The 26,744-nt window shown below is 36.3% G+C and overlaps 1 protein-coding gene across 59 annotated transcripts in view; it reads right to left on the bottom strand.

The window, feature by feature from the left end:
• Nucleotides 1–26,744, bottom strand: part of ADGRL3 (adhesion G protein-coupled receptor L3) — an 878,010-nt gene that overhangs the window by 135,110 nt on the left and 716,156 nt on the right. For all 59 annotated transcript variants that reach the window (NM_001387552.1, NM_001322402.3, NM_001387522.1 and 56 more), the window contains 2 exons: nucleotides 8,203–8,386; nucleotides 7,181–7,303 (listed from right to left, as the gene is read on the bottom strand). In NM_001387552.1, the coding sequence (NP_001374481.1) occupies nucleotides 7,181–7,303; nucleotides 8,203–8,386 (307 nt within the window). The remainder of the gene's footprint in view (nucleotides 1–7,180; nucleotides 7,304–8,202; nucleotides 8,387–26,744) is intronic.

Below are 26,744 nucleotides of genomic sequence, written 5' to 3'. Positions count from 1 at the left end.
AAACTGAACAACCTGCTCCTGAATGACTACTGGGTACATAACGAAATGAAGGCAGAAATAAAGATGTTCTTTGAAACCAACGAGAACAAAGACACCACATACCAGAATCTCTGGGACGCATTCAAAGCAGTGTGTAGAGGGAAATTTATAGCACTAAATGCCTACAAGAGAAAGCAGGAAGGATCCAAAATTGACACCCTAACATCACAATTAAAAGAACTAGAAAAGCAAGAGCAAACACATTCAAAAGCTGGCAGAAGGCAAGAAATAACTAAAATCAGAGCAGAACTGAAGGAAATAGAGACACAAAAAACCCTTCAAAAAATCAATGAATCCAGGAGCTGGTTTTTTGAAAGGATCAACAAAATTGATAGACCGCTAGCAAGACTAATAAAGAAAAAAAGAGAGAAGAATCAAATAGACACAATAAAAAATGATAAAGGGGATATCACCACCGATCCCACAGAAATACAAACTACCATCAGAGAATACTACAAACACCTCTACGCAAATAAACTAGAAAATCTAGAAGAAATGGATACATTCCTCGACACATACACTCTCCCAAGACTAAACCAGGAAGAAGTTGAATCTCTGAATAGACCAATAATAGGCTCTGAAATTGTGGCAATAATCAATAGTTTACCAACCAAAAAGAGTCCAGGACCAGATGGATTCACAGCCGAATTCTACCAGAGGTACAAGGAGGAACTGGTACCATTCCTTCTGAAACTATTCCAATCAATAGAAAAAGAGGGAATCCTCCCTAACTCATTTTATGAGGCCAGCATCATTCTGATACCAAAGCCGGGCAGAGACACAACCAAAAAAGAGAATTTTAGACCAATATCCTTGATGAACATTGATGCAAAAATCCTCAATAAAATACTGGCAAACCGAATCCAGCAGCACATCAAAAAGCTTATCCACCATGATCAAGTGGGCTTCATCCCTGGGATGCAAGGCTGGTTCAATATACGCAAATCAATAAATGTAATCCAGCATATAAACAGAGCCAAAGACAAAAACCACATGATTATCTCAATAGATGCAGAAAAAGCCTTTGACAAAATTCAACAACCCTTCATGCTAAAAACCCTCAATAAATTAGGTATTGATGGGACGTATTTCAAAATAATAAGAGCTATCTATGACAAACCCACAGCCAATATCATACTGAATGGGCAAAAACTGGAAGCATTCCCTTTGAAAACTGGCACAAGACAGGGATGCCCTCTCTCACCACTCCTATTCAACATAGTGTTGGAAGTTCTGGCCAGGGCAATCAGGCAGGAGAAGGAAATAAAGGGTATTCAATTAGGAAAAGAGGAAGTCAAATTGTCCCTGTTTGCAGACGACATGATTATTTATCTAGAAAACCCCATCGTCTCAGCCCAAAATCTCCTTAAGCTGATAAGCAACTTCAGCAAAGTCTCAGGATACAAAATCAATGTACAAAAATCACAAGCATTCTTATACACCAACAACAGACAAACAGAGAGCCAAATCATGGGTGAACTCCCATTCACAATTGCTTCAAAGAGAATAAAATACCTAGGAATCCAACTTACAAGGGATGTGAAGGACCTCTTCAAGGAGAACTACAAACCACTGCTCAATGAAATAAAAGAGGACACAAACAAATGGAAGAACATTCCATGCTCATGGGTAGGAAGAATCAATATCGTGAAAATGGCCATACTGCCCAAGGTAATTTACAGATTCAATGCCATCCCCATCAAGCTACCAATGACTTTCTTCACAGAATTGGAAAAAACTACTTTAAAGTTCATATGGAACCAAAAAAGAGCCCGCATCGCCAAGTCAATCCTAAGCCAAAAGAACAAAGCTGGAGGCATCACACTACCTGACTTCAAACTATACTACAAGGCTACAGTAACCAAAACAGCATGGTACTGGTACCAAAACAGAGATATAGATCAATGGAACAGAACACAGCCCTCAGAAATAACACCGCATATCTACAACTATCTGATCTTTCACAAACCTGAGAAAAACAAGCAATGGGGAAAGGATTCCCTATTTAATAAATGGTGCTGGGAAAACTGGCTAGCCATATGTAGAAAGCTGAAACTGGATCCCTTCCTTACACCTTATACAAAAATCAATTCAAGATGGATTAAAGATTTAAACGTTAGACCTAAAACCATAAAAACCCTAGAAGAAAACCTAGGCATTACCATTCAGGACATAGGCGTGGGCAAGGACTTCATGTCCAAAACACCAAAAGCAATGGCAACAAAAGCCAAAATTGACAAATGGGATCTAATTAAACTAAAGAGCTTCTGCACAGCAAAAGAAACTACCATCAGAGTGAACAGGCAACCTACAACATGGGAGAAAATTTTCGCAACCTACTCATCTGACAAAGGGCTAATATCCAGAATCTACAATGAACTCAAACAAATTTACAAGGAAAAAACAAACAACCCCATCAAAAAGTGGGCGAAGGACATGAACAGACACTTCTCAAAAGAAGACATTTATGCAGCCAAAAAACACATGAAGAAATGCTCATCATCACTGGCCATCAGAGAAATGCAAATCAAAACCACTATGAGATATCATCTCACACCAGTTAGAATGGCAATCATTAAAAAGTCAGGAAACAACAGGTGCTGGAGAGGATGTGGAGAAATAGGAACACTTTTACACTGTTGGTGGGACTGTAAACTAGTTCAACCATTGTGGAAGTCACTGTGGCGATTCCTCAGGGATCTAGAACTAGAAATACCATTTGACCCAGCCATCCCATTACTGGGTATATACCCAAAGGACTATAAATCATGCTGCTATAAAGACACATGCACACGTATGTTTATTGCGGCACTATTCACAATAGCAAAGACTTGGAACCAACCCAAATGTCCAACAATGATAGACTGGATTAAGAAAATGTGGCACATATACACCATGGAATACTATGCAGCCATAAAAAATGATGAGTTCATATCCTTTGTAGGGACATGGATGAAATTGGAAACCATCATTCTCAGTAAACTATCGCAAGAACAAAAAACCAAACACCGCATATTCTCACTCATAGGTGGGAATTGAACAATGAGATCACATGGACACAGGAAGGGGAATATCACACTCTGGGGACTGTGGTGGGGTCGGGGGAGGGGGGAGGGATAGCATTGGGAGATATACCTAATGCTAGATGACACATTAGTGGGTGCAGCGCACCAGCATGGCACATGTATACATATGTAACTAACCTGCACAATGTGCACATGTACCCTAAAACTTAGAGTATAATAAAAAAATTAAAAAAAAAAATAGAATATACTATGCATCAATAAAGAACAAACTATTGATACGTGGAACATCATCAGTGAGTCTTAAAAATATTTTGTCAGGTTAACGAATTGAGACAGCAAATGGTATACACTGTATGATACCAGTTATATGAGGTCTAAAAACTGGCAAATTTTGGCCGGGTGTGGTGGCTCATGCCTGTAATCCCAGCACTTTGGGAGGCTGAGGCGGGCAGATCACGAAGTCAGGAATTCAAGACCAGCCTGACCAATATGGCGAAACCCTGTCTCTACTAAAAATACAAAAATTAGCCAGGCGTGGTGGCACATGCTTGTAATCCCAGCTACTCAGGAGGCTGAGGCAGGAGAATCACTTGAATCCGGGAGGTGGAGGTTGCAGTGAGCTGAGATTGTGCCACTGCATCCCAGCCTGGGTGACAGAGTGAGACTCCGTCTCAAAAAAAAAAAAGAAAAAAAAAAACTGGCAAATTTTGTCTACAGAAATAGTAATAAGAAGAAAGTTTTATTAGGTGAGGAGAGGAATAAGAAGACTGGTAAGAGACACGGGAATATTTTCTGCATACAGAAGAGATTTATTTTCCTTCTTTTTGTGATATTATAAAATTATGTACAACTGTCAAATTCCCAAGCTAAATGCTTCCTCAAGCTAAATGTATATTTTAGTGTATGTAAATTATTTCTCAATTGCAATGTTAAGGAAAACACACAAGAATTCACAATCTTTACCTGTCTTAAAACTCAACTGTCATGTTATTTTAAGGTCACTGTTTCCACAAAGTCACCAAGTCTTTCCACCTTATTTTTTCCTTTATGACAGTCTCTTAAATCTAATCCTCTATGAAGTGAATTGTCTTTTAACACACTTTTTCAAATTGTATTATTTCCTTTACTTTAAAAAGTCAAGCCCTATATCTTATTTCTGGCCCCAACTACTATGGTTACTAAGATGAGGGAGTCATAGTCCCTATCGCTGAACCTTAGAATCAAGTGGAAGAAAAGAAAATTGAGTCAGGCGGGGAGATAGGAAAAAAAAAAATTTTTTTTTTTTTTTTTTTTTTTTTGAGGAGGAGGGTTATTTAACATCTAACTCCCATGTTTGGGAAATTCCCTACTTTTCAGAATTTATAGACACAAAATGGACATATATTTGCTTTCCTAGCTTATTGCGGAGACGTTGCTCTGGGCACTTCCGCTAGATGCATCCAATCAGATGCAGAAGCCTCAGATACCAGATGAGGAGCTAGTGACACAAAGAAGCAGGAAGTGGTACAGCAATAGCAGCAGCAGCAGCGGCAGCACAGTTACTGCAACAGAGTTCACTTGCGGCAGCAGTGACATTTCACAGCAGTGATTCTGTGATGTGGTAAAGGCTGCTGTCAGCCTCCTTGCTCTAGTATATCTTCTGGGACTGATTCTCCAGCCTTTTCAGTGATTCTATGAGATATCCATTATCATTTCAGTAATCCAGCAAAGAGATTATGATGAGAGCTACATAATGGAAGAGAGCATTCTTATCTAATCTACAAGTGTTAATACAGTACTGAGCAAATCATAGTAATTCACTAAAGACTTATCTGTTATAACATAATTTAATTTTGTTCTTTCCCTCTAGATTTGATATTAAAATGCTGATTTTTGAAAGGTGAAAATTAAGAACATCCATGCATTTTTCTTGTTGACATTAAAAACTTTAATTTTAATTGGTTTATAATTGGCTGATAATTCATGCCAATTTCCACTTCTGGGATGGTGTCATTTTGCCATCCCACCGTGAGTTACCAGCACACTTAGTCACTGGCAATTCTTTCATATTCTCTGCTCCAAAATTAATGCTTAAATGTGACTTTCACAAACAAAAACAAAAACAGGCTGGGTGTGATGACTTATGCCTGCAATCCCAGCACTATGGGAGGCTGAGTTGGGAGGATCCCTTGAGGCCAGGAGTTCAAGACCAGCCTGGGAAACATAGAAAGACCCTCTTCTCTATTAAAACAAAACAAAACAAAACACACAGAAAAACTATATGTTAATTTAGAAAACAAATGAACACACAACTTAATTTGACTAATATATTTCTACATGTCTTCAGATACACAGCTTTTCGTCTGAAGGTTCACACATTTATTGTATACGTAAGTAGTGAGTATATAGATGTATAGATGGACCAGGCACTGAAGTACTAGGGTTACATCAGTGAACAAGATTAGACAAGGCCTCTGCTTTCATGGAACTTACTGCCTGGAGGGAGACTAGGCAATAAGCAGGAAGATTAAAAAATAATAATAATGTTATTTCTTATAATGGTAAGTGAATAAATGCTATGAAGAAACATTGGCATAATCATGGCTAATGGGGAAAGAGTGATTGGGAAAGAGGAGTCTACGTTAGAGGAGATAGGGAAGACTCTCCCTATAGAGGTAGACTTATTCTAAAAAGTGAATGATAGAGAGGCTGCCATTCAAAAAAAATGTAAAAATTGTATTCTAAGAAGAAAGGTTTAAAAAAATGCAAAAAAAAAAAAAATGCCCCAAACCTGATGCAGGAACATGCTTGGTGTGTTCAAGAACCAGAATCAAGATTACTCTGTCTGGATCACACAGAACATGCTGAAGACAAATGTGAGGTGTGGCAAATGAGGCAGGAAGGAAGTGGACCAGGTAGCATGTGGCGGGCCTAGTTAAGTCATGAGATTTCATTCTAAGTGTAATTGGAGGTCAACTGGTCAGATGTATGCTTCAGAAGAACCCTTTGTCAACAGGCTATACTGTTGGAGGGCAAAAGAGTGGAGGCAGGGAAACGATTTAGGAAGCTAATGCAGGAATCTAATTTTGCTCTACTGAATCTTATTGCTGTCTCAAAATTTTCTTAGTCAAATGAGTAACACAAAAATGATTTCTAAGTTTAGTCTTACAATATTTCTAACATTTACAGACCATTTTATTCAGATGACAACAAATGTAAGTTGTTTTTCTTGATATCATTTATCAAAACTATTCACCCTGCAATATGAAATATTAGTATTAAGTTGGTTGCTAGGAACTGAGGTCATCTTCCTATCACTTGGCAGATTAAATGATCTCCCTTTCTTGGCAAAAGAGAAATATATCTCTGTGTGTGTGTGTGTGTGTGTGTGTGTGTGTGTATGCATATGTACATATGTACAAATATGGGAAAGAGGGGTCTACTTTAGAGGAGATGTAAATATATACATATTTATATATATATACACACACATCTATACATACATATATACACACATACAGATACATGCACATATATGTGTGTACGTTTAAACATTTTTTAATATTAGTGAAATGTGGACATACTTTATAAGATTATTTATTGAATTTTAATTATTTTCAGTGTATTCAATTTAGTAAGAAGCTAAGCTGATTTACAGTTCAATTTCCCAAAATCATCTCCTTACATTTAAATGTTTGTATGCTTTGCAAAGAAAAGCACAAAAACACTCTCAAAAAGAAGCTGAATAACCAAAAAATATTTTTTTAATTACAAGTAAAATTTACATTAAAAATTTTACAAGTGAAATCTGCAAACTCAGTGAGAGTTCCTCTTTTTGAGGAAAGATGTCAGATCCTCTGTATTTTCTTGTCCATAATTTCCTTCATATTTAAGTTTCTTACAACTGAAAAGTAATGGAACAATTTCCAAATCTGAGAATTTTGTACAACAAATATCACTGTAATATTGATGGTGCTGTACAGTAGAAAGAGGAGGAAGAGGAGGAGAAAGAGAATAGTGTAGGAAGAGGAAGAGGGGAAAAGCTCCTAAATAGTGGACCTAATATTCCCGGCCAAAAAGAAATGAACTGATGCAAGTTCAATTCCCTCAAGCTTAAAAAATAAACTCTAACCTACCATTTCGGCCATTTTGCTTTAAGGTATTTGCAGACAGCTGGATAGTGCTTCCATGGCCCATGTTTTCTGGAAATTTTAGGTCTTCTAAGTTTCCTTCTGTGCTCAGTCTTGCAACTTCCAATTCTGTTAATATCAAAGAGATATCAGTGCTCATTGAGAAACATACCTAAGCTACAATAATTTCCTAAACCATTGCAGTATTTCTGAAATCAAAATACTGGAATTCTTATTCTATTTGTCATGCTTTATGAAAATCTTTAAGAAAATATATTGTTAGTATTTTATCAAAATAATGCAAAAAAGTTACTAAAATTATGTAAATAATACAAACATGTCAATAATAAAGCCTAAAATTTAAATTCAATCCCAAATTCTAATACATTGTCATTGGTCTTAAGTTTCAAAATATAATCTTTATTTTATAAATTAAATAAAAATCCTTTGATAATCTAGAGCTGTACTATCATATCAATATTAAACTATCTTTAAGCCCAGTAAATTTCAAACAGCTTTTTCCTAACTTCTGAAATAAAACTGTCAGCTACTCCTAATCCACAATAAAAATAGACTGATATCCTTTATAAGCCAAATAACAAGATTATCAAACACTGTTTTATCATTTTCACTCAAATGACTTATTTCTTTATAATGTGAATTCAAAGATACTCTCATTATAACTGAAATAACTCCTAACAGTCCTGTATTAAGAGGATGAAATTTTAAATAGTGTAATACATACATAAAAGTCCTTTAAAAAAACGAACCTCACTGTAAGTGATCTCAGGCTACTATGTTTTCAATTTTGAACCTAATATTGAAATGTCCTAAGAAAGATAGCACACATGATCTTGTATCCTTTTAAGCCAATGACAAGTGATGCCCTCTTTATTTTAGAAAAAGAATGACTTTTCTCCATTGAAATAAAGCATCACTCATATCTAGGACACCAGAGATACTTTTTTCTTTTCCCTCTTCTGATATACAAGAGTGTCTGGACCTTCTGAATAACAAAGGCCACTTACTAATATTGTCTGTATTCTCCCTGACAATGTCAGTCTTCAAAAGGTTATCAGCCAGCACAAAAGCACTTTCCTCCACAGTATGAAGCAACATGGTGGCCGCACGCAGCTGATCACTCGTAGTCAGGTCTCTCCATGCATTCAAAGCTTGTGGCTGAAGGAGGTTGTTAACTGTCTCGACCATTGCCTACAAGAGGATGAAAAGAATGACAGAGGTCTCTAGTGAACCCACATAGCTGTCAGAAATCCAGGTGTACATGTTGCCCAGCAAGCAAGGATCAGCAGTGTGTGCATGAGTTCAGTATTGTCCCAGCCTCCCCTGTGACATGCTGCAGCAGAAGCATTCATTATTTTGTTCTGTAAAACCCTAGCTGAGACTTTGCAACGCAAGAGGAAAACCTGTTTTTGTTTTGAAGGACAACAAATAAAGGCATGCTTGCTTCTTAGAATCAATAGCACAAGCTTCAACAAGACTATGATCACATAATTAAATTATTTGGCTGGGGAACTGTTGAAAAAAAAATTCAACCAAGAGTTTTACCACATGACTCAGAGAAAATAATTTTTTTCTGTAGGTTACCATAAAACTGGATGCTGAACACAACAGAGATTAAAAGGATGACCATAAATGTGACAATCCAAGAATTTGTTGCTTATAGGTTGATGACTCACATAGCAAACCTATTTGTTTTTAGCCAGCTAGTAAAATGTCAGAATGGGGAAAATATCAAAGCATACATACTCCCAGGGGCTTTGGATATGTTATGTATAAAGAGAAACCTCCTTCATGCTGTTTACTACTAGGGAGGGGAATAAACAGTTGAACCTTACTACCTATGGTCCTCAGGTGTTTTATCTTTTAAAAAATCAGCAGTAGGTACACCCACACATAGATACAAAGCACTACAATTCTCATTGCTTCATCCAAAAGAATCATCTCTGTAGTTACAATTTATATATTTCCTGTGGTTTGCTTTATGCTGTAGGTTAAAAAGAAAAACAGTTCTTCCAGTAAGGTCTTGGGTTTCATTCAAACATAGAGAATTGCAAAACAGAAAAATACAATACCTGCAGCTTGAAAGTGATCATCCCTGAACCCAATTCATTATGAAATATGCATCTAATCCAGAAATAAAGTTGAATAAACAGCCAACACAGGCACAGTTAACAGGCAGCACATAAGTGTTTTAAAACAGGACTCACATTATTGACACATTGGCCGAGGGGCTGGGAGAGACTAGAGAAATACCCTCCACAATGCAGTGTTTTCTCCTGGCTGGTGTTTTCATAGTAACCAAGTAACAACTGTTAAAAATGCAGCTTCATAATGAAACACCTTGGCTGCCAATTAACACCAGCTTCAAAAACTAATTTGCCTTTTGATACAAGTTGTTTTTTTCTTGATATTTTCCCAGCTATTCCAAGTTTTGGCCAAAAATCAACATCACTGTACTTTTAAGTAAAATAATCCTACTCACAACTTGCATGCTTTGGATTATTTTTTAAAAGAGAAACAACACAAACAAATCGAAAAAGTCTCTCACGAGTTTAAACACTGGACGTTTTCATATAGTGTGCTTAGCTCCGTCATTTGTTCTTGGTGTAAAGCGTGACCTAGTAGCCAGACAAAAGTACTTCTGGATCACAACAAAATGATCCGCTTTCCTGGAAGTTCTCTATAAGGGCAATGCCAACAGGATATGCCAAAAAAAGAGGTGCCAGATAGGAAACCAAAAAAATAAAAATAAAAATAAAAAAACTTTAGATATTTTCTGAAGCCAAACAGAGAACTTGGACCTCTTCAGTGTAAAGAAGTATTCCTTCAGGGATTAGATGATACTGTGAATTCATTAAAAATGCTCTGAAAATCCCACATGCAACAGAAATTATGTCTGTTCCTTATGGAGCAGCCATTTTAGCTGCTGATAATCTTAATAGTTAGTTAATAATCTTATAATAATTAATTAAAATCTTACCTAAGGGGAAATTTTATTGGGGATAATATATTTCTGTTCTGTCCTTCGTTGTTTTTATTTTCATAATTTAAAAAAAATACAAGATGAGAAAAAAGGAAAAAGAAACAACTATGGTCAACTCCGAGAATGTTCTAAGAAAGAACATGTTCCAAGACTAAATCAGGAAAAAATAGAAATTCTGAATAGACCTACAACTAATACGGAGATTGAGTCAGTAATCAGAGCCTCCCAACAAAGAAAAGCTCAGGATCAGATAGCTTCACTGGTGAATTCTACTCAATTTTTCTACACTTAAAGAAGAATTAACACCAGTCCTTCTCAAACTCCAAAAGAATATAAGAGGAGGGGACACTTCCAAACACCTTTTTATGAGGCTAGCATTACTTTGACACCAAAGCCAGACTTAGACACCACGAGAAAACTGCAGGCCATATCCTGATGAATACAGATGCAAAAATTCTCAACAAAATGCTAGCAAACTAAATCCAACAGCATTTAAGAAAAAAATTATAAACCATGATCAAGTGCAATTTATCCCTGGATACAGGGAGAGTTCAACATACAAAAATCAACAAATGTGATACACCACATTAACAGAATAAAGGATATCACATGATTGTCTTAATAGATGCATAAAAAGTGTTTGACAAAAGTCAGCACCTTTCATGATAAAAGCTCAACAAACTAGGAACAGAAGGAAGTTACTTCAACATGATAAAGGCCATGTATAAAAGCTCTTAGATAACATCATACTCCACAACGAAAACCTGAAAGCTTTCCCTCTAAGATCAAAAACAAGGCAAAGGTGCCCACTCTTGCCACTATTCAACATAGTATTTGAAGTCCTTAGCCAGAGCAATTAGGTAATAATAATAATAGGCATCCAAACTGAAATGAAAAAGTAAAATTGTCCCTGTCTGCAGATGACATGATCTTATATACAGAAAACCTGAAAGACTCCATTAAATATATATATACATAAAAGACTGTATGTATGTGTATGTGTATATATATATGAATGTATATGTGTGTGTACGTGTGTAAATATATATATATATAAACTAATGAACAGATTCAGGAACCTGTTTACAACAGACTGCTTTATCTAAAAAACTTTGTATGTCTTTGAACTGATGGCAAATAAATCAAAGGCACCATTTATTAATTTATCTTAGTTTTGCAACTAAAAAACTACAAGGTGCAATATTTTTTCATAGTTATAAGTTTTCAACAAGTGTATTCTTCAAGATAAGGCAGTCTTTAGGGAAGCTTTCTACTAAAGCCCAAACAATTGCCAAATTTACTAAAAAGCAACACACTCAAAATGTGGCCCCCAAACCTAGAATTTGGTGAGTTATGACACCAATTTAACATTTATTTAATCTGCTCAAAAACGCACCTGTTCACAGTTGCTTAAGTATAACTGCAAGGAAATGTTTACACAAGGATAGAGAGACAGTATTCTGTAAAATCAGAGTGTGGGATTTGGAACCACATCCCCGAATTGTACCTGCACAGTGCCTCTTACTGTGTGACATTGGGCAAGTTACTTAACTTCTCTATACTTCATCTACAAATGTGGTATGATAATATAATCATCTCAGAAAGTTTTCTGGCTCATAACAAGTGCTCAAGTTGCAACCTTGTTTTTACTTTTGCTTGATATCACAGTACAGTGTAGGAAGAAGGGACGTCTTCACTTAGAAAGCACATTTCATGTCTGATAATTGCTAAATAGCCACACTGAATTGAAATCTGGAAGGAATAAATCTTCGGTAATGCAATCTTCATAATTTGGTCTCTTACACAACTACAGAAGCCTATACTACCTGGAGCTTTGAGGAATTGGAGAGTAAAGGCAACATGTGTATTAAATAGTTCATAATGAGTTTTTTAGAGACTTAAATAATGTGACCCCTTTTCTGCTAGTGAGACAGCACAATTAAGTCCATCTTAGAAGCTTTATAATCATAAATGATTTAAACTTTCTGAAGCTTGCTGACATGTCCCTTTACTAGCTAAATGAAGGTTAATTAAATAGCTACAACTCCTCAATGAATACCTATATTTGGATTTCCTTATACATTTATGTATTGTATATTTTATTCACACACTATGACATCTGGTCACAAAATAATTTTTTTTCTCCAACTAGTTATTTGCATTATTTTCATAAGCTCAACATAAGACTCATTATATTTCAATTTGAGGGTAGGTACGGGTGAGTATTATCCTTTTCATTGTACAGTATACTCACTAAACTCTCAGTGACTTTTGACTGTTTCTAAAAATCGAATATAAATGGGAAAGAGCCAAAAGTCATTTTGATTCACACCAAGATTATGGACATACCATATCCTACTAGATACACATTTGCATTATTTTTTAATGCGACATTATTAGGACTCTTATCATTAAATTCAGACCTTAGGCAAATTCAGTTGACGAATATTACTCATAGCATATAACTCTGATATGTTCGTTAAGATGTTATATACTTTATAATTACACTTTCTATATTTCAAAATACAGAGTTTATTTGTTATAACTACTGCAAAAACCTTTGGGAAAAACTGCTACATATTTTTGCAATGACAACTTTTGTCATTATTCCAAGAGGATGTATTTGTGAAATAGCTTAAGATTTCTCAGGAAGAATACACAAAATAATGAATGATGAGAAACACATGAGTGGCACTTCTTATCCAGGTAAGCAGTAAATATCAAACTACGAAAGTAAGCAGAATCATCTGGGGGAACCTAGTTACCCCCCTTCCTCCATTTGAAAAACGTAAAAATAAATACCCCAATAGAAGGAATGCCTTATGGAAAGATGTATAACTTTACCACCATGGCATTTTTTTTTTTTTTTTTTGAGACAGAGTCTTGCTCTGTCGCCCAGCCTGGAGTGCAGTGGCACGATCTCTGCTCACTGCAAGCTCCACCTCCCAGGTTCATGCCATTCTCCTGCCTCAACCTCCCGAGTAGCTGGGACTACAGGCGCCCGTCACCACACCCGGCTAATTTTTTGTATTTTTTAGTACAGACAGGGTTTCACCGTGTTAGCCAGGATGGTCTCAATCTCCTGACCTCATGATCCGCCTGCCTCGGACCTCCCAAAATGCTGAGATTACAGGCGTGAGCCACTGTGTCTGACCTTGCAGACAAGTTTTTAAGTCACTAGCTCATTCAGGTTTTATCTCAAATATCATCTGCTCCAAGAGGTCTTCCATTATTAGCACAACTGGGGGGCGGGGAGGGGAATCCCCCCATCCTTAAACCTATTACCTGTTTTGTTTTCTTTGTGTCATACGTCATTATCTAAAGATGTCTCATATTTGTTTCCCTGCACAACTATCTTAAACCTCCCATTGGACAGACGGCAAGCTTTATGAAGGAGGAGATGCTGTCTCATTTACAAGAGCCAAAAGCAGTGTTCCCTAACTCTTGGCTGAGGGATTTGCCATGCAGGATAACTCATATGTAAGTCAGTTTTCTCCATTTTCATATCAGCTAAAATAAAAATCTCTGAAGTTATTAGTTTGATGAGTATAAGAGCAAAGAATAACTAGAAATGATAAAACTTATTAACTAGCCAATACTTTCTTGAATTAGTCTCACTTCAGAGAATCAATACCCCAGTGGGCTCTTAGTCCATTTGGGCTGCTAGAACAAAATACCTTAGACTGGACAATTTTATAAACCACAGAAATTTATTGCTCACAGTTCTGGAAGCTGAGAAGCTCAAGATCAAGGTACCTGCAGATTCATTGTCTGGTGAGGTTTCACTCTGCATCCTCACATGGTACAAGGGAGAAACAAATTATCTCGGGCCTCCTTTGTAAGGGCACTAGTACCATTCATTCATGAAGGCTTTGTTCTCTTGGCCTAATCACCCCACCAGAAGCCCCACCTCCCAACACCACTATACCGGGGAGTAAGTTTCAACACATGAATTATGGGGAGACACAAGCAGTCAGACCACAGAAAGCTCCCATTTCAGTATTTATTTATCTTTAACAGAATTATCTATATTTGTTCTGATTTTCTCACCAGACTATCATGTCCTTAGAGAAGACATCATATTCATTTGTGTTTTCTCGGAGTAAATTTTAGTGCCGTGATACCATTTGGGTATTCATTAATATTTATCACACAAAGGTAAGTTACTTTTATTATCAAATTATTAATGCCATTATATACAATAGGAAAACTGAAAGCATCCTTTTTTATTTCTTTAATTTTTGCCCTGTCTCCCCAAAGACTTCTGAGAGAATAACGTGTTCAGATATCACCATGATTTGGGAGGGAGGCAGGGTGAATGAGACGAAGTTAAGATGACAGAGTTCAGAAGAAGAAAATCTGAACCACAGGTTATTGTAGTGCATACAGGACACTATGAATAAGAAATGCATATTTATCTTATAAAAAGTTTTCCATAATGTTTCCAAAGGTAATTTCCAATGTAATTTAACAAGATTTCATTAGATACGTATTATGTGTAAAGACCTAGGTAAGGCACTGTTGAATGAGGTTAGAGAAGAAAAACATAAGAGTTTTTCTTCAATTTACCTATGCTCCAGCACAAAACAGATCTAGAAACCCACAGCATACAGTACAAAAGTAATAGACTCTTGCTGAGGAGGACCATAAAAACATCCCAGAAAATGTTTATTTTTGAGTTAGACGCTAAAGGATGAATACATTTTCTTTGACTCCGAAGAGGAAATCCAAAGCTAAAGTACATAATGAGCAAGTTGATGATGGTAAAATAAAAAAAGCAAATTGGTATTAGGCAGCCCATTTGAAAGCTGGGAACAATTATTTCATAGTAATAGATACATTTATACTAATGAATTGCTTAAACTCTTTTGAAAAACGGCCTAGTAATATAAATTATATTTTACTCTACTTCCACTTTTTAAATATGTTTTCCTGAATGCATTATTTCCTTAGCAATATATGCCATAATCACGCTGAATAATGCTATTTTATATTATTATTTTTATTATATTATATATACAGTTACATTTAAACATTTTTCTTCACATCTAAATATCAGGATATATTAAGGAAGAAAAATAAGTTTTCAGGTCTCTGCTCCCATTTATTGCTTTCTGAATGTATACACTGTAGATAGATAGATAGATAGACAGATGAAAATAGTATCCATTGATTTATAATTTGAAATAATAAAAACAAAATTTTCTTTAATTCTTTGATTTCTTGATATAAGGTTTATCAGTTGAAAATAAAGTAAAATGAAGCAAAAGTTTAAAATCATTACTGAATAGGACACATTGTACTGCAATATGCGTTTAGATATTGATTCAAATCAAAATGTAAAGGTCAAGTGTTAGAAGTGTCTTCAAAACAGTTTATAACTTGCAGGTTTTTTATTACAAGTCAAGTTGAGTGACTGATATTTATACATCTGATCAATAAACCTAAGGTACTTTTTATAACCACTGTCATTTAATATTATTAAGTATATAAAACTACTAATCTCTGAACTACCTTTTATATTACAGTGAAGTGCTGGCATTTTCAAGTCTTAATTAAAATTAAATCATATAACACAAGTGACCTTAATATAGTAATAGGGACCTTTAAGAGTAAAACAAGGTGAAACTAAAATTTCATAGAACAGACTGTGTCTTTAAGAGACCTCTTATTTTTTTTTTTAAAAAAAAGCATTGTCTTTTTGCAAACTGTATTTGATCGTATCACTTTTTAATTCTACTTTAGAATGAAATGACCAAATGCTGTCAAATAAATCTCTATCATGTTACAGGAATTAAATGGATCTACAGACCTGACTTAAACTCCTTGCTAACCTAATATTCATTCAACAAATATTAACTGAGCATCTTCAATGTGGCAGTCAACTGGGATGCAGCAAGAAAGACAGATGTTCTCCCTTCCCTCAAGGTAATGGCAATATAGTGAGGCCAGGCAATTAAACAAGTAATTAAAATCCAACATGGCAAGCATTATAATGATGGAAACATAGGGTTCAAGCTCTGTATTGGAAAAGCTCCATGAAGTAGGAGAATTCCAAGATGAAACTCAACGCTGAACAAAGAGGCAAAGGGCACAGAGTGTACTTACAGGCACAGAGGTGAAAGAGAATAGGCACTGCAAAGAAACTGAAAACAAATTCCTTATGGTAGAGCAGAGAGTATAAGGGGTTCAGTGGCAAGATTGGTAAGTGAAGGATAGATTTCAAAGAGGTTGCAAACTATGTTAAGGTATTTACAATTCTTCCTAAAGACGACAAATAGTCACTGAAAAAACATGTAAGGTAATAGAGCAATATACAGTAACGGTTAATATTTGTGGAGTGTATTCCAGACCTTGATATGAATGCTTTACATGCATTAACTCCTTTAATTTTCACAATAACCCAGTGAGGTAGAATTTATTATTATCTTCATCTTACAGTGAGAATATTGAGACTCAGGGAAGTTAAGTAACTTGCTAAAGGCTAATTAGCTAACATAGAGTAGAACCAGGACTCAAATCCATGAATTCTGGTTCTGGAGAAAAAGAAAAGCAGAGATTATTCCAAAGATATTTAAAATGATTTGCTGATTAGTTAACGCCAGTTGATGAGGAAAAGAAAGAGGTGCAACGCATAGAATTTGGGATAGTCAAGGAGATAGCACTCACTTCAAATGGGAACTTTGTTTTTCAAAAGGTAAAGGTAGTGGGTATAAAAGTATATGTGTGGGTGGACAGTATGAGTAACATAGTAAATTCAGGTTGCCTACTTTGAATGCAATATACAGTCGTGCACTGAATAATGATGGGTTGCTCAATAATGGACCATGTATACCATGCTGGTCCCATAAAATTAAAATGGAGCTGCTCTATACAGGTGTACTAGCTTTGATCTTTTATATCATATTTTTACTGTATCTTTTCTATGTTTAGATACACAAATACCATTGTGTTATAATTGTCTACAGTACTCAGTACAGTAACATGCTGTACAGGTCTGTTGCCTAAGGGGCAGTAGGCTATACCATGTAGCCTAGGTGTGTAACATGCTGTCCCATTTAGGTTTTCGTAAGTATACCCTATGATGTTTGCATGACAACAAAATGAAGCATTTCTCGGAATGTATCCTCACTGGTAATGCATGACTATAATTGTATGGCATCAATTCAGATGGCCTGAAGCTTATATAAGATATCTGATATTCACATATAGTTCATGAGATAGTTTGGATATTTTTCCTTCTGAATCTCATGTTGAATTGTAATCCTCAGTGTTGGAGGTGGGGCCTGGTGGGAGGTGTTTGGGTCATGGGGGCAGAGCCGTCATGGTTTGGTATTGTCCTCACTATAGTGAGTGAGTTCTTGCGAGATCTGGTTGTTTAAAAGTGTGTGACACCTACCCCACTCTCTCTCTCTTGCTCCTGCTTTTGCAATGTGATATGGCGGCTCCTGCTTTGCCTTCTTCCATGAGTAGAATCTCTCAGAGCCCACCCCAGAAGCTAAGCAGATGCCAGTGCCATGCTTGTAGAGCCTGCAGAATCATGAGCAAATTAAACCTCTTTTCTTTATAAATTACCCAGGCTCAGGTATTCCTTTACAGCAGCACAAAAACAGCCTAATACAATGCACGCATCATAAATTTAAGTAGGCTTATTAAAGCCATTGGTATGTCTGAAATTACCCAGAAAAACTGAGTAGAGGAAGAAGAATTGATGGTACAGAAACACTAACAAAATAGAGGGGCAAATGAAGTAAGAATAGTTGACAATGAAGATGAAAGAGTAAGCAGTCAGAGAGTGCAGTATCACAGATGGAAAGAGGGTTTTCCTTAGTTTCAAAAATAATCGTGAAAGTATCCAAAAATTCTTCTTCAGGAACTAGAAATAATAACTCTATTTTTGTTCTGGGTAACAGAGTGATTGTAAAACGAAAAAGAAAACCACAGAGATACTGCTTTTGAGGGGCAATCAGTACAATTGTATATCATTACTTCAAAGCGGGACATTTATTCATTTAATTAATATTTCTTGAGCACTTAACATATTGCCAACACTGTTCTAGAATCTTGAGATATATCTTAACAAAGCAGAGAAAAAATGATCTTAGAACTGAACATTCTGGCAAGGGAAGCAAATAATAAACCATATAGTGTTAGAAGGTAAAATGTACAGTGTGAAATGAAAGAAAATAGACAGGATGGAGGATTTAGAATCAGGGATGGCTTTCAAATAGAATGGTACAGATGGGCATCACTGAAAAGGTAACAATTCAAAAAAAGACAAAGGAATTGAGTAAGCCATGCAGGCATCTGGAAGAGAAGCATTCCAATCAGAGGGAACAGCCAGAATAAAAGTCTTCAAATGGAACTTTTGAAGGTTTGCATGGTCCAAAACCTTAAAACGGCATGTGTTTGGAGTAAAGTGAAAGGAAACAGTAGAGGTGGGAGGTGGGGCTCAACCACTTTAACTGAGATGCTGAAGAATGGTTTGCAAGTGAAGACTGGGAATTCAGTTACAGATATGGAAAGTTTGAGGTGTTTATTAAACAACAAAGTGAAGATATTGAGAAATTGGCTGGAAAATTAATTCTGGAGTTCAGGAGAATGGTTTGTGCCATTGATAATATTTGTAGGTCATAGACATATAGGTGGTATTTAAATCAATGAGATCACCAAGGGTGTGAATGTATAAAGTGTGGACAAGAGGACTAACTATTGTGCTAGGGGGCACTCCAAGCTTAAGGGTTTGAGGAGAAGAGGAGGAACCAATGAAGGAGACTGGAAAGAAGTGTCAATTAGGTAGGAGAAAAATCAAGTGAGTTGTCCTGAAGAGAATATATCAAGGAAGAGGGGGTGATCAGCTGTGTTAGATGTTTCTAATTGATCAAGTAAGGTATGCATTGACTACCGACCATTGGTTTAGCAGCATTTAGAAGTCATTAATGACCTCAAAAAGGGCAGTTTCGGTGGTGTAGTGGGGACACAAGCCTCAGGAGGTGAATTTAAGGGAGAATGAGAGGAGAGGGGTTGACAACGGCAAATGTTGAAAAGTGTTGTCAGAATTTCTGCTGCAGTGGACATACTAGTAGGCAATTGGAAATTGGAGCCTGGAGCTTCAATTAAACAGTAAATATTTGGAGACCACTTAATGTGTGCTAAGCACAATTTAAAAGGTCCTGAAGATGTAGAAATAAAAGTGGCACTGTTCCTTCGCAAGCAGCTTAGTGATAGAGGAGTGAAGAGACATTAAAATACAGCTTGATAATTGCTGTAATAGAGGAAAACTGAGAGTGTTATAAGTTCACATAAGAGGTCATTTATTCAGACTAAGTGGGACAAAGAATGCTTCTTTAGAGTAATTGACATACGAAGTGGGTGTTGACTTCATATGTCAAAGTTACTGGAATGAAGAGAAGGAGAAAGGAGAACAAATCTAGAATTAATCCAAGTAGAAGGAACTGTGACTATAAAGGTACAGAGACACGCACTGAAAGTATTTACATCTCCTGGCAGTGTAGGATCCGAGGAGGAGCCAGTTAAAGGTGTGAGAAATTAGCAACAGGAGTCTGATACTCAAGCACTGTAGTTCAAAAAGGGATTTTTTTCTATAAGGGCAAAAGAGAGTAAGGGACAGGCTGAGTAGGGTTAAGTCAGGATCAGATTTGCATTTTTAAAACATTACTCAGACAGTAGGTGGAATGGATTAACAGAAGAATTTGGCAATGTGTAAAGCAGTTAATTTTCTTTTTTAAATCATCTACACAAGGATAATAGCTGAAGTTATAAGAATCAGTATCAGAGGAAAACAAAGTTTGTAGCCAAAGTCGTTTTGCAAAAAATATGTCATGACCCTGGTCAAAGGATTTTAATAGCACTCAGACTCTTGAGTTTTTTCCATAGCCTTCTCCCTCAACCCACTGCTTCAGGCATATTTGTCTTCTTTCTATTCCCTGAACTCTCCAACCACTTGTCACTTGACCATCTTGGCCTTGGGTGACCTTTGATCTTGGAATGCTCTTCTCCAGGTAGTCACATTGCTGAATTGCCTATCACTTCCTTAGAAAGTCTTCCCTGATCCGCACGAAGTGAAGTAATCAAAAGGTCATATTTACTCATATGGGTCATATTTACTCATATGACTGTGTTTTAATTCTTTGAATAGCATTTCTGCAATCTTATTTTATTACTTTGATTGATTGACTGATTTACTGGCTATTTTCCTCCATAACTCCAGGCTGAACTAGGGTTTGAGCCCTACGAGACAGAAACTCTGTGTTCACCCGTGAATCCCTGCACCTGAAACAGTGTCTGAATGAGCTCAACAAATACTGCCTGATTGAATGAATGAATAAATCTACGCTTTTCTTAAAGTATATGTGTTTACTATTTTTTAATAAAAAATGTATTTTTCAGACTTTGAAAAGGACATACTTGTTGGAAAGTCTGAAAAACTGCCACAGCCTAGCAGAGCTAATTAAATGTAATATGATATCCTGGATAGGATCCTAAAACAGAAAAGGACATAGATAATAAATTTAAAAATCTGAGTAAACTGTGGACTTCAGTTAATGATAATATATTAACATTGGTTCATTAATTATTATAAATATACCATACTAATGTAAGATGTTAACAATAGAGGAAGCTGTTCATGTCAATGGGAGGTATATGGGAACTTTCTATAAGACTTGATCAATTTTTCTACAAATCTAAAACTGTTTCAAAAAATAATATCTATTAGTTTTAAAAAGACATATTTATAAACAGTTTTAAATTACAGAAGTATATATGGTAAAAGCTGAAATTCCATTTATAGAACAACACTGTAAAACTCCATACAAAAAGAATCACTTTAGACAGTTTATTGTGGGTCTCTCTAGACCTGTAAATATTTACACATTGATAAGAGCAAACTCAGTCCGGACAATAAGGCTGTTATCTGTTGTTTTTGGCTTGCTTGTTTATTTTTACTTGAAAATATATCACATCTATCTTTCTAAGTCAATACAAGTTCTACCTCACTGTTTCTGTGGCTAGGAAGTATTCCATTATTTAGTTTAGTAGTTTATTCAACCGATTTCCTACTGATGAAGAGGTAAGTTGTTCTGCTGATACAAACACTACCCAAATCTAGCTTGTGATCCTGTCTACACATTTACTCTTTTCCATGGCAGAATGCTACCCTATTGTGTGGGTCGGCCACAAGTTATCCCCAAAGTCTTTTCTCTAAGCAAGGAGAACAACACTGTTTTGTGATTGTATGACAAGATTTATAAAGAAACAGTATAAAAATATAGATATGAGTAAAAATAGTCTTCTCTGGTAAGATATTTAAAAAGCTAACAGGCCGGGCATGGTGGCTCACACCTGTAATCCCAGCACTTTGGGAGGCCGAGGCAGATGAATCACGAGGTCAGGAGATGGAGGCCATCCTGGCCAACATAGTGAAACCCTGTCTGTACTAAAAATACAAAAATTAGCTGGGCATGGTGGCGCATGCCTGTAATCCCAGCTACTTGGGAGAGAAGCGCTTGAACCCGGGAGGCAGAGGTTGCAGTGAGCCGAGATCACGCCACTGTACTCCAGCCTGTTGGCAGCAAGACTCCAACTCAACAACAACAAAAAAGCTAACAGTGATCACGCTTTGGAAAAGGACTGCTGAAAGTCTGTGGAGAGAAATGAGAGGCAGGGTTGAACTACGCAACCGCAAGGGAGCACCACTGAAATAGACAAAAATGTCAGTGGCGTGCCCTGGAGTTAGCAATGCAGAGGTTCTAGTGGGAGGGAGAAATAGCTATTATTCTATCTTTTGAATTTTATACCATGTGTCTATATTAGCTATTCAAAAAATTACTTAAAAGGTAGAAAAATGCAATCTGAGAAGTTTCAAATAGCTTTTAAAAGTTTTTTTTAGACAAAATGATTAATCTCAAACTATGACTAACAGAACAAGCAGAAGAACATTTTTATCTATATCTAGGGTTCAAAAGTTACCCTTGTATTGTCATAAATCTATGGTAGTTTATTACAGTAAAACTGAATAAGATTTCACTGTGTTATTAAATAAGAAAAAGAAAAAGCATTTTCGTTGCATCTGAGGCTGCTAGTTGCCCAATATCCCTCTTGTGTTAGACACAGAATCGTTGGACACTATGCCCAGCTGCAAAGCTGCACCTACTAATGAAGTATTTAACCATGCAAATAGGGTAGCCCTTAAGATATAATAAGGAATAGTTTGGAGAGACTCCTGGAAAGTACTAAAAGGGACAAATCCTTCTGATACTTATCCTTTTCCTTCTTCCTTTTAGAAGATTAGCATGACATGATGATTGGAACCTAAGTAGCCATCTTGTCATCTTGGGGATGGAAACCCATGTGCTAAAGATAATGGAGCAAAAAACCAGATGCAGCCTTGGTCTCTGATGATTTCATGCAGTTTCCAAGCTAATCTTGGACTGCCTCATCTGCATTTTTCATGTGCAAGAATAAAGCCCTGGTTTGTTTAAGCTACCATAGCTAACTTTCTGTTACTACCAGCTATACAAGATTCGTATATTAGATAAAGGAAAACATAAAAATTGTAACTCTGGGAGCAGTCCTGAAAAATCATTTGTTTGGATCCACGCTCTCAGACAACTACTTTACTGTAAATTGCACTTTAAAATTTCCATTGCTTTTCTGACCTGTACCAAAAAAGTTAATGATAGTTTCAGAAAGCAGGATCTTAAATCTGTAATGCTGTTTTTAATATCCTTTACCTTAATTAATTACCTTAATATAATTACCTTAATAGCTATGTAATCATCAAGCTATTAAAGAAATAGAAAAGTAAATTGATGTGTATTCTCTTGCATTTGCATAGAAATAATATCTATTTATATTCTATGTATTTAAAACTTTTCTGAAGGTAAACTTATGTTCAGAAAGCACTGATGCATAGAATGGGCTTTAAGTAAACAGTTTTACAATTACATAATGGCCCAGGCTTTGATCAGAAAATTAAATAAGAGAAGAGAATACAAGTTGGTGCAAAGAAGAGAGAAAATATTTTTGTTTTAGATGAAAACATTTTATTTAAAAACAGAAAGACACTTTTCCCATACCCTCATTAGAATTACTTTCTGAGGCATTCACAAACCATGTATATACAAACAGCAGCTGGAACATTTGTTTATTTACAGGAAATGTGCAAAATGGAGGAGGCAGAAATGGCTTTCTAAAGCAGCCATTTCTATCTAACCTGACACATTCGCCAGGGGAATTGTGAGAGATTCCCAGAATGATGTTCTTTCCACGTCAATGCAGAATCTCCATGATCAACATCTGTCATTGTCCTTTGGAAGTTTTTAAATCATTAGATTTACAACTTGACCTGTTCACATTCTTCAATAATACCTGTATGAATTACTCTGCTTACATTACATATGATTTTACTCTTCTGATTCAATGATTGCTTTGTATGTAGTAGCGTTTAATGTCTACAACTTATAGAAAGGAATTCTTATAACCATTCTTTATCTGAAAAAAACTACAGTACTCTGGTTTTGTAGATAGAAGTCACTTTCTTTGATCTCAATGTCTTTTAACAATAGGTTTAGGGCACCAGAAACATGCAGGGTGCAGATTTATATTTTCTCTCTTACTGACATAAATCAAGTGCAGATTTATCAAGCTGTGAAATATATTAAGTTCACAGGGTTTTAACAAAGGGTTACCAAACCACAAGAACCTGCTGTGATTCAAACTACTTTCAGATGTCCTTTTAATTATATTAAATGAAAGTTTGGGTTGGCTTTGATGCTTATGGGCAAACATCGAAATCTCTTGAAAGAGCTGCTAAAAGTACTCCCTGTTGCTGCAGTTAATATACTACATTGTATGCACACTGCTAGCCAATTTATTCTAGCCACTTTAACAAGGACATCCAGCCTGACAGGCCACACAGAATAGTATCACAAGTCAAGCAACGCACAAATCATTAGAGGACTCTGAAAGTTGTTTGACATGCACCACAGAGCTCTTTGTCACATAGCCAATTAAGTGACCAAACAAGGAACTTGAAAATACTCATTAATTTCTTCCTAGCAGTATAAATGGAGCTTAGAATCCTTCTTGTCTTATGCACCAAAGGCACGCAAGTAAAACTGGCATAATTCAATTTGCACTTTGTCAAAGGTGCAATAGCAATTTTGGTTCACAGAAAGTGTGCATTAATACAAAAAAGTTGAAAAGAATGGGCAAAAATGTTTAGATATTGCATGTAATAATGTAGACATGTGGGCTTTGGAATCTTTTTAATTATCAAAAGTTGACATTACTTTTATCTTTGAAAAGCTGTATCAGCATTTCTGAGCAGATTCAGCAGTGCTTCACATCATTTCATCCTCTCTGCAATAACTTCAGTTGATTTCCAGGATACCATGCTCTCCTGGTGCTCCTCATTCCTTAAGCCTGTTTTTTAGTCTCTATTGCTGGCTTCTCTGCATTTCCCCAACCTCTTCATATTACAGTGTCCTGGGGCTCAGTTCTAGATTCTTTTCTTTTCTCTCTTTACACTCATCCCCTTGATGAATTCATCTAGAACATTGATTTCAAATGCCACTCTAAGTAAAACACTACCAAATAATTATTTCTAGGCTAATCTCACAATTGAACACCATGCTTGTATATTTAATGACATATTTAACTTCTATATTGCATGTCTAATAAGAATCTCAAACTTAGCATGAGCCATAGTGGAGTTCTCTTTCTGCCCCTCCCAAATTGGTTGCAAATAGACCATCTCAACAAACCACGACTTCATCCTTCCAATTGCTCAGGCAAAAAGCATTCTGTCATTTCAACTCCTCTTTTTCTCTGAAAACTCTATACAATCTCTTAGCAAATCTTATTTCATTTTTTTAAAAACCTCTGAATCCGAATAATTACCTCAGTATCCCGCACTAATATGCTAATCCAAGTGGCTGTCATTACCCAAATGGTAACCCAGCTTCGGCCCTTACTTTTCTTGCTGTTGGCTACTGTCCACTTGTAACACGCATCAGAGAGTTAGCCCTCCTCAGAAACCTGCAGTGGTTTGTTTACTAGGCTTTTCTGAATAAAAGCTGAAGTCCTTACAATGATCTATCAGAATCTGGGCCTTGAACTACCACAGGCTCACACCCTGTGATCCTCTTTTTCACTCTGTTCCTGTTGCACTAGCCTCCTTCATCACCAACAGGAATATTTCCATTTCAGGAACTTTCTGTTCTCTCTGCTAAAATGCTCGCTCCTGCATATCAGCATAGTTGACTCCTTTTATCTCCTTCTGAGTTTTGCTCAAATATCACCTCGGTAATTCATTTCCTGCTTTCTTGCCCCCCATCCCATGACTAGAGTCAAGAACTTCTGCAATTCACAAATACTAGCATGGCTATAATAAGAAAGACAGAAAATCACATGTGTTGGTGAGGTTGTGGAGCAACTGGAATCCTCATATATTGCTGGTGGAAAATAGTACTGTCTCTGGAAAACAGACAGTTCCTCCTTTAACATAGTTACTATATCTTTCTGCTGGTTTTTTATTCTCTTAAGATGGTAACTTTTTCATCAGAGTCTCCTCTGAAAGTAAAAAGACCTCAAAGCAAATTATATTTGGATATGACCTTAATATGGCAGCACAAAATAATTATCACATACCATTTTACCTCTGTCTCAAAAAAGAGATTGAAAAAAATTGTTGTACTGCATTCCATCCCTGAAATACAGTGCAAAAAATCAACAAACATAAACCTAATGATATGTCTTGCCTCCTATCACCAAAAGATGAGGTCAGTCCTGCAAGTAACAGTATCTCAGAGATTAGGAGGACACGCCTCTGAATTAGAAAGACTTAGCTTTGAATTTAAAGCACCTTCAATTATTATTGTGTGATCTTGTGAAAGTCATTTAACCTTCCCTGGGTCTCCATTTTTTCATCTGTTAAGTTAAAAATCGCAATAATTATATCATACGGTGTTTGTGAATATTAAATAAGAATGTATTCTAATTGCTCTGCACAATAATGGCACATAATTAATGCCTAATAAATAAATTTATTTTTATTTTTATTTTTTTTTGGAGATGGAGTCTCACTCTGTCGCCCAGGCTGGAGTGCAGTGGTGCGATCTCAGCTCACTGCAACCTCCACCTCCCGGGTTTAAGCAATTCTCCTGCCTCAGCCTTCTGAGTAGCTGGGATTACAGGCATGTACCACCATGCCCAGCTAATTTTTGTATTTTTAGTGAAGACAAGGTTTCACCATGTTGGCCAGGCTGGTCTCAAACTCCTGGTCTCAAGTGATCTGCCCACCTTGGCCTTCCAAAGTGCTGGGTTTACAGGAAATTAATTTATTCTTAATAACAAATCACTGTTATTCTTAGTCATGGTGTTGAAGCAGCATAGGACACATGTCAGGAGAGAAGCAATGGTACCATCAGTGCTACTTGTGTGGCCTTGGGCCAGTACACTATCTCATCTTCATCTATAAGGATATGCATGTGTAACACAAGCCTTACTTGTTTTCTCTAGTATAAAACTTAAAACTCTCTA

The sequence above is a fragment of the Homo sapiens genome, chromosome 4, assembly GCF_000001405.40.
Source record: "Homo sapiens chromosome 4, GRCh38.p14 Primary Assembly".
In the NCBI taxonomy this organism is placed as follows: domain Eukaryota; kingdom Metazoa; phylum Chordata; class Mammalia; order Primates; family Hominidae; genus Homo; species Homo sapiens.
Note: the sequence above shows the minus strand (reverse complement) of the source record. Positions and strands in the feature narration are given on the sequence as shown.